General features: G+C 56.3%; 1 protein-coding gene across 14 annotated transcripts in view; it reads right to left on the bottom strand.

The window, feature by feature from the left end:
- Positions 1-15,230, bottom strand: part of RASA3 (RAS p21 protein activator 3) — a 154,841-nt gene that overhangs the window by 13,264 nt on the left and 126,347 nt on the right. For all 14 annotated transcript variants that reach the window (XM_047430157.1, NM_007368.4, NM_001320821.2 and 11 more), the window contains 4 exons: positions 9,780-9,886; positions 8,539-8,621; positions 5,485-5,693; positions 1,439-1,542 (listed from right to left, as the gene is read on the bottom strand). In XM_047430157.1, the coding sequence (XP_047286113.1) occupies positions 1,439-1,542; positions 5,485-5,693; positions 8,539-8,621; positions 9,780-9,886 (503 nt within the window). The remainder of the gene's footprint in view (positions 1-1,438; positions 1,543-5,484; positions 5,694-8,538; positions 8,622-9,779; positions 9,887-15,230) is intronic.

Consider the following 15,230-nt stretch of genomic DNA (forward strand, 5'->3'; position numbering starts at 1 on the left):
GTGCGGACACCCAGGGCATGTGGGGCTGGAGAACAGGCGTGGCCAAGCTCACAGATGGGCAGCTGCACGGACACCCAGGGCATGTGGGGCTGGAGATCAGGCGTGGCCAAGCTCACAGATGGGCAGCTGTGCGGACACCCAGGGCATGCGGGGCTGGAGAACAGGCGTGGCCAAGCTCACAGATGGGCAGCTGCGCGGACACCCAGGGCGTGTGGGGCTGGAGAACAGGCGTGGCCAAGCTCACAGATGGGCAGCTGCATGGACACTCAGGCAGGACTCATGTGTTTCCAGGCCAAGGCACACTTGACACTTCTGGGTTAAATCAGGGGAATGAAAAGAAGAAAATCTAACAGGCATAACTCCAGGCACATTCCGCTCTATTTCCATTCTGAGTGGGACTCAAGGGCCCTGTCATATGATCTCCAAGAGCAGATCCGAGTTCTACCAGACACTGGCATAGAAACAAACGCAGCTGCTTCACCCCCGTGGGCTTTTCTTGTCTCTGCCTCTCCTGAATCACAGACCTCAAACCACTGTCCCCATGTGGTCTAACTGGGCTTATCTGGATTGCTATTTCAATTCTGTAAAGCAATTCAATGTCACAGATAATGATACATACTGCATATAGATTTGAAACACACGGTGTGCCTGGCACTGTTTCAAATATATATGCAGTATCGTTATCTGTGACATTGAATTGCTTTACAGAATTAGATGGCATGTGTGTACCCACATATATGCATGCTGACACATGTGCCCAAAGACATACATGCATACTCACACGTGCCCTCATGTTTCCACACATGCACAAATTCATGCATGCTCACGTGTCCCCACACACACATGCTCACACATGTACCCACACATTCACTCTCATACATGTCATGTCCATACATTCACACACACTCACACACGTCCATTCATGCACTCACACGTGTCCACACATTCACACATGCTCACACATGTCCACATTCACACATCCACACTCATACATGTCATGTCCACACATTCACACACGCTCACACATGTCCACATTCACACGCTCACACATGCCTACACATATGCACACATCTCATACGTGTGTCCGCACACATGCAAGCACACTCACATACGTGTCCACACACATGCACTTATCCCTCTGGAAAACAAAGGAATGAAAAAATAGGTCCTCTAAAGAAACTTGGCAGTACAGAGGTTACAAGTTAAATTCCATCTAAAAATTATCTATAGAACCTATTATACAGGTAATTGTCCCCCAGATAGCTGCCTACCCTGCAAAAAGCTTTTCGCATCCATCCGTGCTACAAAGACAACTACATGTAGCCCACACTACACCAGAGGCTCAGACCACAGGTTTTCACCCCACAGCATGCTCCTGAGGCCGGGGCCTCGCCAGCCATCCCCTCGCTGCACAGATCTGTGTGCCGGGCAGACTCACCCTGCATCTTCTCCAGCTTGCTCATGTACAAGTTGAAGAGGGAGTAGATACGCTCCGTCTCACGGTCCCCATCAATGTCCAGCTGGATGTTGGCTGGGAGGCCGCTGTCCAGACACAGCAAGAACAGAAAGATAAAAACACTTATTTAAACGATGCTTTTAATAATGACATTCATTTTTAAAATGTCACTGAAGAAAGACAACGATTGTGTTGGAAGTGAAATTCGACAGGATCGATTTGCTGTCCGTCTGTGCACAGCCGGTGTGTTGGCTTGCTGAGCAAGGCTGACAGCGTCCACAGCAGCACGGACAGCAGTGTCACCAGGCTGCAAACCGGAACTAACTAGCAACCTCTGCTTCAGTTACCATTGGCCTATTTGGACACGTGGCAAAAGATCCTTGCTGTTTAGTATTTAAAATGTGCTTATCATTTGTACTAACTGACCTTTCCTGAAATCACGCAGTACTGAGTTATGTCTTGTTTAAATCTATTCCTACTCCAGAATCTTATCAATACATAAGAAATTTAGGAAGACTAGGTGCTAAAATCCCCAGTGTAATATGTAATACTTGTACATTTTTAGTATCATACAGAACTCAATTCCCAGGAACTATGAACACTCCAGACCTCATGTGGTTTATTCCTTCAGTCATTTCAAACACAGAAGGAGGCTGTGTGCTTGTTTCCCTGCTCATTCTATGTCTGCTTCTCCTATGTTCACACCAGCACACGTCAGGCTGGAGCGCGGTGGCACGATCTCAGCTCACTGAAACCTACGCTTTCTGGGTTTAAGCGATTCTCTTGCCTCAGCCTCCTGAGTAGCTGGGATTATAGGCACACACCACCACGCCTGGCTAATTTTTGTATTTTTAGTAGAGATGGGGTTTCACCATGTTGGCCAGGCTGGTCTTGAACTCCTGAGCTCAGGTGATCCACCCACCTCGACCTCCCAAAGTGCTAGGATTACAGGCGTGAGCCACTGAGCCCGGCCTCATGTCTTTTTATAAATCTTACTTTGTGTTATTATGAAAAACCTCCATAGCCGGGTGTGGTGGCTCACACCTGTAGTCCCCACACTTTTGGGAGGCCGAGGCAGGTGGATCATCTGAAGTCAGGAGTTCAAGACCATCCTGGCCAACATGGTGAGACCCTGTCTCTATTAAAAATACAAAAATTAGCCAGGTGTGGTGGTGCACACCTATAATCCCAGCTGCCTGGGAGGCTGAGGCAGGAGAATCGCTTGAACCTGGAAGGTGGAGGTTGCAGTGAGCCGAAATCACACCACTGCACTTCAGCCTGGGCAACAGAGCGAGACTCTGCCTAAAAAAAAAAAAAAAAAAAAAAAAAGAAAAGAAAAGAAAATCTACATTGTACAGAAGCACGTCTTTGATGGCTTCAGACAAAGTGGCCTCACGGTTAATTTCACATTTGCACGCAGGTGCAACCAACAGGGAGGGCCTGATAGGAACGCGCGGGGCTGTTATTTTTAGCAAAATGCTGCCTTGTGCAGAACGTGTGAAATATGCTCTTTAATTTAGTAAATACTTTTTAAAAGGCAGAAATGCTTATTATAGCTAAAACAATTCTTAAATCATAAAATTTCTGAAACGTCTGTAATTTTTTCCATACTGATTAGAAATTGTTTCCAACTTATTTTTGTTTGAAGTATGACAGTTTTTCCCTTTTCTTCCCAACTTCTCTTGTAAAAAAAGAAGTGGGTTTCTGCTAATGAACTGATCAGATGTCAATACTGTATATGCCTTTTGAGCTGAGTAGCTCAGTATTTGGATACTTGGTCATTTGTTTTATTAGGTAATTGATAAAATTGTGTCACTTATTCATGTTCAACCATATATTTATGCTGTCTGGGGATGGGTGGTTATAGTTCTGTGTGAGAAATAATTTGTCAGTCTTCAACAGCTTGTAAAAACTTTGCAGTGAGAGCTTAAACATCTAAATAAATAATGAAATGCATTTATCATAAAAAAAAGAAGAAAGAAGATGAAGTGACCAACATTAAAACACATCCCTGGCCAGTCAGGGAGTTCATGTGGGTAATCCCAGCACTCTGGGAGGCCGAGGCAAGAAGGATCGCTTGAGCCCAGGAGTTTGAGCAACACCACCCTGGGCAACATGGAGAGACCCTCACAGTGAGACCTGGCAACATAGTGAGACCCCGTCTCTACAAAAAACCAAAATTTAATGAGCTGGGCTGGTGGCATCAGCCTGTAATCCCAGCTACTTGGGAGAGTGAAGTGGGAGGACTGCTTGAGCCCAGAAGTTTGAGACCAGTCTGGGCAACGTGGTGAAACCCCGTTTCTACAAAAAACCTTAAAACAATTAGCCTGGAATGGTGGAGCACACCTGTAGTCCCAGGTACCTGGGAGGCTGAGGTGGGAGGATGGCTTGAGCCTAGGAGGTCGAGGCTGCAGTGAGCTGAGATTGCACCACTGTACTCCAGCCCGGGTGACAGAACGAGATCCCATCTCAAAGACATAAAACTAAAAAAGCATCCCCGAGCTGGGAGAACTGAGGCTGGCTGTGGGTGTGCGGGATAGGGGAGGCTCCCGAGCTGTCCGGCCTCAGCGGCTGGAGCCTCTTGGGACCCACAGATCTGCCAAGGCAGTGAGCAAACTCGGCAGACGTGTTCTCATGGAGATAAATGGCCTGGAAGGAAGCCTCCTGGGACTGTGTTCCCTGCACGGTCGGCTGCGGGTGGGGACAGGCCAGGTTTTCTCTCCTCGTCAGGCTGCAATGCTTCCCGCTGTCCTGGGATGCGAGGACATGGGAGAGCGCTGGCCTCTCCTGGGGGATTCTGGGGCGGTGGCCACGCATGCCTGAGCAGCAGCCAGGCCCCCTTCCTGAGCTTCAGCCTCTGTGTCCACGAAGCAGGATCTAAGGTCCCACCTCTGAGGCTGTGGGAGGATTAAACGGTGGCCCAGCATGGAGCACAGCTCATCCCCTGCAGGGCCCTTATGCGAAAGCATCACGTGGCCACAACAACAGCGAGGTGCATCTCACGGAGCATAACCAGGGGGACCGCCAGGCACCCAGGCCTCCTCCTTAGGACCGGCAGATATGACCCAAGCCTCTGTGCAACTGCCAGAGGCCCGGCTGATGGGGGGCCCTGCTGATGGGGGGCCTGACAGGGGGCCCAGCTGACGGGGGGCCCAGCTGACGGAGGACCCAGCTGATGGGGGCCCGGCTGATGGGGGGCTGGCTGACGGAGGACCCAGCTGATGGGGGGCCCGGCTGACGGGGGCCCGGCTGACGGGGGCCCGGCTGACGGGGGGCCCGGCTGACGGGGGGTCCGGCTGATGGGGGTCCGGCTGACGGGGGGCCCGGCTGACGGGGGGCCCGGCTGACGGGGGGCCCGGCTGATGGGGAGGCCCGGCTGATGGGGAGGCCCGGCTGATGGGGGACCCGGCTGATGGGGGGCCCGGCTAATGGGGGGGCCCGGCTAATGGGGGGCCCGGCTGATGGGGGACCCGGCTGATGGGGAGGCCCGGCTGATGGGGAGGCCCGGCTGATGGGGGACCCGGCTGATGGGGGGGCCCGGCTGATGGGGGGGCCCGGCTGATGGGGGGCCCGGCTGATGGGGGGCCCGGCTGATGGGGACCCGGCTGATGGGGGGCCGGGAAGACAACGGGCTGCTGCGTCATGTGGAATCAAGGTGGGTGTCCTGGGCCAGACGAAGCTTTCAGGGAGGGGCTTGCTCCCAGCCTCCTCCTAGAGAAGCAGGATGGCCACGGCCTGGGGAGTCCCCCTTCACCCTGACCTCCCGCTCCCCCGGGGCAGGGCCTCAGGAAGACCCTCGAAGGCCTGTGGCACCCTGGAGTCTGCGCAGAGCCTTCCAGAGGCTGGGCCCCAGATGCTCCCTCGAGGGAGGACCCCTCGGGTGGGAGGCTCCTGGGAGGAGGCGAGGGCAGCCCTGTTTATGTGCAGCTTACAGGCAGGCATGCACTGTCTGCTGGTCCCTCCCTACTCAGCCCCTTGGCCACATTTCCTGCACAGTGCACGAGCTGGGCACCGAGGCACAGACCTACCCAGTGCAGGGCGAGCAGCCCGGAGCCGAGTCGGATGGCGCCCTACAGCACAGCCAGTGGCCGCTCAGGTAGGCGGACGGGTGGTAGACGGTGAGGCGCTTCTGGTTGCACTGGCTCACTTTGGTGAGAATGTCGATCCAGTCCTTGGCCTCCACGCAGTTGTTGGCCTGGATGTACAGCGCACGCTCTGGCTGGATGACCTGGAACATCTGAGGACACAGGTGGGCTCAGGACAGCGCACATGAGGTCTCGTGGCTGAGCACGTGCAAGAGTCCACCAGGCACCTGGCCGTCCTCGCCGGAGTCGTAAGAGGGGACGCTGAGGGTGCACAGGCCCAAAAGTCCTGGAGCTCTAAGCCCCAGAAGAGGCCAAGGCCAGGGGGTGCATGGAGCTCTCTGCCACCCTAAAACCTGACAGCTGGGGCCGTGGGGAATGGAGGTGAGAACTGGTGCAGCTGGAGATGTGGCCAGGTGGCCAGGAACAGCTTGGCCAAGGCCCTTTATGTCCTGGAGCCTTGGAGGTCTCCATTCAAGACAAAAGAGGGGCCCTGTGGCCTCCCCACAAGGCCCTCCTGCAGCTGACTGCAGGCATCCCATCCACGTGGTGCTCGTGCTGTGTCAGCCCAGGTGGCCCGGCCTGCTCAGCTCCTTCCCCAACTGACCAGCCCAGGATTCTTCCTCCTCCTCCCAGCTGGGGTTAGGGGGCTGCTTCCTCTTGAAGCGTCTCGGGGCAGCAACAACCTTTACCATTTATTACTCATTCAACAAACATGACTGAGCACCAGCACTCTCCTATGTCCCGGAGACAAAGCCTGGCATAGAGTTTCTACTGAACCTGCAGCCACCAAGAAAGACTAAACGAGGGCAGGTGTCAGCAGAAGCTGGAAGTGAGCAGTCCTGGTGCTGTAGTCGGCGTTGACTCAAAGTTAGTTAAGCAGGGGGTGGGGGCAAAGGGTGTCAAAGGCAGAAGAAATGGGAGGCACAAAGGTCCTGGGGCAGGTGGGACAGGGGTCCTGTGATTGGAGGGACAGGTCTCCCGGGGCAGGAGTGACAGAAGCCTTAGGATTAGAGGGACGGGGGTGCTGGGGCAGGGGGGACAGATATCCTAGGATTGGAGGTCAGAAGCTCCCAGAAGGAGCCGGCTCTGTTGCACACAGAAGACAGGTTTTCTGAGTAGGAGACTGACTGGAGGTTGGGAGGGCTCTCATGTGGGACTTGCCCTTAAGTCAGGAGTCAGGGGGACAGTGGCCTTCTCTAGGGGACGGGCCTTCTGCACTCATCTGGGGAGGATTTGGGCTCCAGGTTTCTGGTGAACAGCTGAGGTCTTATTTACAGAGGCCAGGAGCCTCCCGCCTTGCACCCGGCACATGTGTATAGGTCTCGGACTGGACGCCCCCGTGCATGGCTGTGATCCCCCATGGAGGGCGTCCTGGCCATCATCCCAGGCTCGGCCCTGCCACCAGGAGCAGCCTTCAGAAAGGTCTCCCCAGCTGGTGAGAGCCTGGCCTGGCAGTGGCCTCAGGGGAATCGGGCTCTGAGGAAGTCAGTGGGAATGAACAGCTGGGAACAGGCGGCTGAAACTAGGGAATTATTGGGAATCTATGTGAAGGGCTGGAGGTGCTTCCAGGACATGTCCACACTGCTTCCTTCGAGGGACGGTCTCAGGGCCAGGTTCCGGCCATCCCCCTCAGTCAGCAGGCATTGAGCCCACACCCTCCTCTTCCCATCTCCCCCTCTTCCCAACCCTTCTCTTCCCAGCCCTCCTCTTCCCAGCCCTCCTCTTCCCATGCCCTCCTCTTCAAATTACTCTCCAAACTTATGCCTTTTGCAGGATCTGTCTGGACTGCCTGTGAATAACATGCTAGTAAAATTCTGCCAATGGTAAGGAACATGCGTCAACTTTGGCACGAGGCCCAGGGACTGTGCCTTCCCTGCAACTGTTCTATGACCCTCATGCTGCAGTCGGGGCACAGAAGGCTTGTCCCAGCCAGCATGTGTCAGGGTACGGGGTCAGCCTCAGGATGGCACGGACGGCGGGGTCACTGGCTGAAGGGGCACTGAGTCACCAGGGAGAACGTGGCCAGCGGCCGACTCTGGGAGGCCACCACACAATGGTGACGCCACGGACACCTCTAGGGGATTCCCGCCAGAAATGCATCATCAGAACCTGCCACGTCGGCACATCCGACAAACCCACAGGGAGGGATGTCCAGAAAACCGAAGGCCTGCACGCCTCAAAGATGCCAAGGCCACCACACACAAAGAAAGGCTGGGAGTGTCCAGTGGGCCAGACGGAGGGGGCAGCAGAATGCAGCGCAGACTGGATCCAGAGGGGAAGGAACCACAGCCGGAAGAACGGGACTGGACAGCGGCAAACTCGAATGTGGTCGCGCCGGCGACGTGCGATGGTGGCTGCTGTGGTTTTGGGGACTGCACGGTGGGAAACACACTTGGAAGTGTTGATACATTCAGAAAAGCACGGGCGGGACCGTGAAGGGAGAAGGAACAAGTGTGACTGGGGAACGAGGCGACATGTGGGTCCGGGTCAAGCGTGACCGGGGAACGAGGCCACACGTGGGCCCGGGTCAAGCGTGACCGGGGAACGAGGCCACACACGGGTCTGGGTCAAGGGTGTGTGGAAAGTACTTGTTCTACTCGTGCAACTTCTATAAATTCAAAATTATATCAAAATAAAAAAGCTTCCAAAAGGAATTCCAGACGGTCCCAAGCCTGCTTCTGGGATGTCTTTGACAGAGGGCCCCTTGACATTGGGGACCCTGCGGGGGACGCCACCTGAAGCAGCTCAGGCCCCACCTTCCGGCAGGTTCCACCCCACCCCGGTGACCCCGGGCACAGAGAGTGTGGCTGCTTTGATGCGAGATTCCGACACAAACTCACCAGCACCTGGTGAACAACCCGAGTAACACGAAGACTCTGAGAAGCCTGGAGTGCAGTGGGTGGGGAAGGGTGAGCCCAGGGCCAGGTACGGGAAGAGAGCAGAGAAAACCTGGCCAGGCCTCAACCCGAAAGAGAGGCTTGGGGGCCCCACACTCACGTTTTTCATTTTGAAAGACTCCTCCTCCAGCTTCTCCACTGCCAGGATGTTCTCGATGGGAATGCTGTAGAGAGGCTGGTCCCCTGCAGCAGAGATGGACTGTCAGTGGGTGCGGGCCCCGCTGTCCCGGCTGGGGTCCGGGTGGGGCTGAGGGGTCTCTGCCGGGGGGTCTCCCAGGGGGTCTTTACCGGGGGGTCTCTGCCAGGGGGTCTCTACCGGGGGGTCTCTGCCAGGGGGTCTCTGCCAGGGGGTCTCTACCGGGGGTCTCTGCTGGGGGGGTCTCTGCCAGGGGGTCTCTGCCAGGGGTCTCTACCGGGGGTCTCTACCGGGGGGGGTCTCTGCCAGGGGGTCTCTGCTGGGGGGTCTCTGCTGGGGGGGGGTCTCTGCTGGGGGGGTCTCTGTCAGGGGATCTCTACCGGGGGGTCTCTGCTGGAGGGTCTCTGCTAGAGGGTCTCTGCTGGGGGGTTCTCTGCTGGGGGGGGGTCTCTGCCAGGAGGGTCTCTGCTGGGCGGTCTCTGTTGGGGTGGTCTCTGCCAGGAGGGTCTCTGCTGGGGGGGGTCTCTGTTGGGGGTGTCTCTGCTGGGGGTCTCTGCCAGCTGGGGGTCTCTGCTGGGGTGCCCTGGGCCGGAGGAGGTGCCCCATGTTCATCTCCTTGGGGATGATGGCTGAATCACTGACAGGCTGCAGGTGCGGGGGCTGAGGAAGCCTGGGACCCACCTGGCCCTGCCATGCACCCAGGCTGGGCCCAATGCTCGCATCCTCACAGCTGCCGTGGCCTCAGGCTCTGTCCCCAGAACATGTTCCCGTTCTGGGACATGAACATGGGAGAAACTGCTAGATATTTCCTAATCTAGATCTGAGCCAGCAGATCTGACAGCGAGGGGCAGGAGGTGGTGGGAAGCCCCGTCTACCTCGGCGGAGCGGCACCCTGGCCATGACGAGGCGACCAGAGGAGGAAGGGACGTGGACAGAAAAGCACCTTACTGATGTGGTCAGCTCTGCGTTTACTGGTTCTCTGGGGAAGCAGATTTCCCTCACTTTCCAGCAGCAGGTCTGAAAGACCCCTTCAGGGATCTTTGAAGGGAGAACCAGAAGCAGAGGGCTCTGGGTCACCGCGGCCCCGGGCTCTGCCCGCAGCACTGAATCCTTCCTCCCCTCAGCTCTCCCCCTGAAAAAGCAGACTCAGTCCCAGGGCCCAGCACGCTCCAGCAAGAGCCAGGGAAAGCGACCTTGCTCCTTACCTTTGCTTTTGTGGTAGGTAAATTCATGGTTGGTCAAGCGAAACCATCTCTTCTTAAAATTCTTCATCCCAAAGCGCTTCCGTCCTTGGGCCCTCTTGATCATGAACCTGTGTGAAGAGCACACAGGGCCGGGGTCCGGGCCTCAGCTGCCTCCCTGCACAGGTGAAAAACCACACCCCCCACTTTCTGCGTTCTGAGACCTGAGGCAGGCAGTGGATTTTCAATATCTTATCATTTTACTCCGAGTGATGAGATTAAAATTGGAAGGCAATGCCTCTCCTTTGAAAAGTTGAGCGCTGACTGCTTTGAGTCACCAGTTGGTGATGGCACCAGGTTTTAGGAGATCTCCAACCCTCCTGCCTCCCACACTGAACTTTCAACAGTGGTGCTGCCACTGGAAATGCCAATGCGATGCTCCCACGGCGGACCTGCGGCCGTGGGCTCAGGGTCAGGGAGGGCAGCGGACGCCCACACAACACGGAGGACCTGCGGCCGCGGACCTGGGATCAGGGTGGGCAGTGGACGCCCACACAACATGGAGGACCCGCGGCCGCGGGCTCGGGGTCAGGGCGGGCAGTGGACGCTCACACACAGAGGACCTACGGCCGCGGGCTCGGGGTCAGGGTGGGCAGTGGACACTCACGCAACATGGAGGACCTACAGGCGCGGGCTCGGGGTCAGGGCAGGCAGTGGACGCTCACACACAGAGGACCTACAGCCGCGGGCTCAGGGTCAGGGCGGACAGTGGATGCCCACACAACACAGAGGACCTACGGCCACAGGCTCGGGGTCAGGGCGGGCAGTGGATGCCCACACAACACGGAGGACCTGCGGCCGTGGGCTCGGGGTCAGGGCAGGCAGCGGACGCTCACACACGGAGGACCTGCGGCCGCGGGCTCGGGGTCAGAGCGGGCAGCAGACGCCCATACTCAGAGGACCTGCAGCCACAGGCTTGGGGCCGGGGCAGGCAGCAGACGCCCACAAAACCCACACCTGTGTTGTGCGGGAGTCACGCACCAGCGCCTCTGCCAGACCAAACCTGCCCCCTCAGGGCCAGCCCTGCTGTGGTAGAAGGCGCCACTGGGCCACGTCCTCAGGAAACGTGGGGAGCAGGAGACAGGATGGCCACCGAGGATGCAAGGCCTCAGCGAGGAGGACCTCAAGCCTTGCCCTGGGCAGGGTCCTCGAACACCCTCCCGGCAGCCCAGGGCCCTCTGAGGCTCGGCCTTCATTGCCGGGCAGGGGTCCCTGACCAGAACCGGCGGCCGAGCTGGAGGAGAAGAAAGTGGCCAGACAGAGTGACTGGAGGACAGAGGTGGAAGCTGAGGACGAGAAGCCAAGCTGGAGAGACAGAGTGGGGAGGTGGGCGGGGGAGACGCACCTCGACAAGCGCACTCAGAAATCGGAAAGAGGGGCTTTGAGCAGCAACACAGCCAGATGTGGCCAGAGAGCTGTGGACGCACACCGGAGGGTGTGGAAGCTGCTGGGAGCTGTTCAAGAGAGAAAAGGGCGGGGCGCTGGGAGCCGCCAGGACAGCGCAGTTCACAACCAGTGGATGCCGAACGCCGTTCATTCCAGGGATTCACAGGCAGGAAGTCAGCCCAGGAGGCTGTTGAGGACCAGCAGGACCCAGTGGGATGCGCAGGGCGGGGCCTACACAGACGGGGGTTGGGGGGGGACTGGGAGCTCCACGACATGCCGGCCTCCTTGAGGGCAACAGGGCGCCTCTGAGAAGACTCTGGACCATGTAGCAGTTAGATTTGAGTAGCAGTCTTGTTATAAATGTTTTCGGCTTTAGGATTTTTTTAAGAACCCCAACTTTCTGAGGGCCTTCAGTGGATGAGGCTGCATGTGAATTTTATGTGCAGTTTCCAGGTTAAGGCAGCACTGAGTGGAGAGAAGCCAGTGGCTCCTCACTGCACAGCTCTGGTCTGGGCGCCTGGCTCTCCAGGAGTCGGTTTTCTAACCGGGCCCATCGCGCGTGTGGGACGGGGAGGCAGGAGCCACGGCTAAGCCGGAAGCCTCAGGCTGAAAGCAGCTCGGCCCCGCGCAGCCACGGCCAACTCAACTCAGCAAACACACGCTGCGCTGCAGAGGCCCCGTCCCCAGTCCTGTGTCCCAGTGGGTGAGGACACACACAGCCCTGAGAGACGGCAGAGGTGTGGGAGCATCTCAGCACAGGGTGAGCCCTCAGGAAACATGGTCATCACCACCCCCACACATGGACGAACATGGCAAGACACACTTGGCACCAAGGGCTGAGATGGCAGAACCGAGGCCCTAGGACGGCCCATGCTTGCACAACCGAGGGTGGCCCTAGGTTTGGGGATGTGACAGAGCTGAGGTGCCGGAGGAGAAGCTGATCCAGGGGCTGGAAACTCGAGGGCCTGATGGACCAAAACCTTGGTGTGAGTCGCAGGTGGTGCAGCTGCTGGAAGGAGCTGGTGGAGCCTCAGCTGCATCCAGGGCACCTGGGAGGCGCCTGTCCTTGAACCTCTGGCTGGTGGCACCTGGGAGGCGCCTGTCCTTGAACCTGTATCTACAGCAGCTTCTCGGCGTCAGACACACAAGCCCTGAGTGTCCTGTGTTGCTTTAGGGATTACAGGATGAATATCTGTTGCTTTGAAAGCTGTGAATTTATGAAATGTAGAAAGTAAAAAGTTTCCTCTTCAAAGTTTCCCTTCTTGTTAAAGAATAAATCATAAGTGTTAGAAATAATAGTTTCTTTTAAAGACTAACTTCCTTCAAGCCTCCTTGCTTTGTGCTAATAACTCTTTGTTAAGCTCTATCCTGTGTAGCTGTTGGACGTGCCCACAGGCTCGTAATATATTCTGTGTCCTTGTACCTTAACCAAGGCAATTGTGTTAGACGTACTCATAGGCATGTCCCAGCTCACAGCCTATGCCCCTTCCTTATTTAAACATATTATTATTTTTCTACCTATTTAAAAAAGTTTTAAATTATTAGCCAATCAGGTCTTAATTTAGATTGTGAGGTCCGGCTCCAGGCAATGGGGACAGGACACGACAACAGGAACCTCGTGCGTAAGGAATAAATATTCTGGCGTCTCTTTATTCTGTGTGTGCCCTTGCCATTACTCCTTCTGCCAGGGACACCCTTTCTGCAGAAAGTAAAAATTGCCTCGCTGAAAGAACTTTTTGTCTAAATGCTAATTTTTCCTTATGGCACCGAAGAACAAACATTTTGCATTTCTAACATGAAATGTGTGTATTGCAAATGTTATTGGTTAATATATGATTAAGTTAAATGAAGGTGATTTTAAGAAAAATAGCAATGTAAGTAATGCCACTGGGGTATGGTCCACCAGTGACCCAGAGATGATCCAGGTTTCAGCAGATGGCTCTAACAGAGTATCCACAAAAATAGACAAATGGGACTTAATTAAACTAAACAGCTTCTGCACAGCAAAATAAATAACCAACAGAGCAAACAGACGACCTGCAGAATGGGAGGATATTTGCAAAGCACAGATCCAACAGGGGACTAACAGCCACAATTTAGAAGGAACTCAAACAACTTAACAAAAAAAATAAAAATTAAAAAAAAATTTAAAAGTGGCCAAAGGACAGGGGGATAGACGTTTTTCAGAAGACAAATGGCCAACAAGCATACGATATAAAGCCCAGCGTGGCTCATCACCTGAGGAATGAGAGCCAGAGCTGCCTGTGACCCCACCTCACGCCAGGCAGAACGAAGCCACCTGCGACCCCAGCTCACGCCAGGCAGAATGGAGCCGCCTGAACCCAGCTCACGCCGGGCAGAATGGCTGGGATCAAATAAAACACGGAAAAATGACAGACGCTGCAGAGCTGTGGAGGACGTGAGCGCTTGCACGCTGTGGGGAATGGAAATTAGCGCTTAAGGAAACCCACGGAGATTTCTCAAGAAGCTAAAGGCAGAGCTGCCATTCGATCCAGCAATCCCACACCAGGCCCCACCCAAAGGAAGAGCAATTACCAAAAAGACACCTGCATGCGTACGTTTACCGCTGAACCACTCACAACAGCAAAGACACGGAATCCACGTGTCCACCAACGGACGACTGGATAAAGAAAACGTGGCATAAATACACCACGACATGCTACTCCACCATCAAGAGGAAGGAAATCTTATGTTTTCCAGCAACGTGAACGGAACTAGAGGTTGTTATCTTAAGGGAGATGACTCAGAGACGAAAAGCCAAACGCCCCATGTTCTCACTGGTCCATAGGAGATAAACACGGAGGGGCGGGGCGCTCTGGGACACGTATTCGGAATCACAGACTGAGGCCTCGGAAGGGTGGAGGTGGGAGCGGGAGAGGAATGAGAAATTACTCAGTGGGCACAAAGTGCCCGTTCAGGTGACGGTTTCACGAGAAGCCCCATCCAATACAACTGCACTTGTGCCCGACATGTTGGCAAACACATAAAAAATACAGGAACATGGTCCACACCAGGCAGAGCAAAGCCCCGAGCGGGAGTGGGAGCCGGGCCACAGGACGGGGTTGGTGGAAACGGGCAGACGTGTCAGTTATGTAAGGAAGGTTGATGGGCTCTGATGCTCCAGGGACCTCTGGGTGGAGGTTGAGGGAGGACAGGCCTGTGTCAGAAACACGGGGTGGCTGTGGGACACAGACGTCCCCCTCCAAGGTCACCGAGAAGGTGGCAGAGGGGTCCCAGGCTGAAGGCGCAGGGGCCAGACCCCCAGGGCTGTCCCCTCTGACTCTGGTTCCCTGAGCAAAGAGCCCTCGGGAGCCTGGAGGGAAGGCCAGCCCCAAGTGCGGGTGTGGACAACACGGCCAGTGGTACAGAAATCACAAGGCTGCTGGCCAGCAAGGGAGGAGGCTGCCCCCGACTAGGGAATCTTCTGGAATGTGCTGGGTGCTCTGGGGACTGGGGGCCCCCATCCCTTTCTCCCCTCCGGCCCTGCCGGATGCCACCTTACCCTTCTCCCCCCTCCTGCCCTGCCGGACACCACCTTACCCTTCTCCCCTCCTGCCCTGCCGGACGCCACCTTACCCTTCTCCCCTCCTGCCCTGCCGGACACCACCTTACCCTTCTCCCCCCTCCTGCCCTGCCGGACGCCACCTTACCCTTCTCCCCACTCCTGCCCTGCTGGATGCCACCTTACCCTTCTCCCCTCCTGCCCTGCCGGACGCCACCTTACCCTTCTCCCCTCCTGCCCTGCCGGACGCCACCTTACCCTTCTCCCCCCTCCTGCCCTGCCGGACGCCACCTTACCCTTCTCCCCTCCTGCCCTGCCGGACGCCACCTTACCCTTCTCCCCACTCCTGCCCTGCTGGATGCCACCTTACCCTTCTCCCCTCCTGCCCTGCTGGACACCACCTTACCCTTCTCCCCTCCTGCCCTGCCGGACGCCACCTTACCCTTCTCCCCACTCCTGCCCTGCCGGATGCCACCTTACCCTTCTCCCCTCCTGCCCTGCTGGAC

Source organism: Homo sapiens, chromosome 13, assembly GCF_000001405.40.
Source record: "Homo sapiens chromosome 13, GRCh38.p14 Primary Assembly".
NCBI lineage: Eukaryota > Metazoa > Chordata > Mammalia > Primates > Hominidae > Homo > Homo sapiens.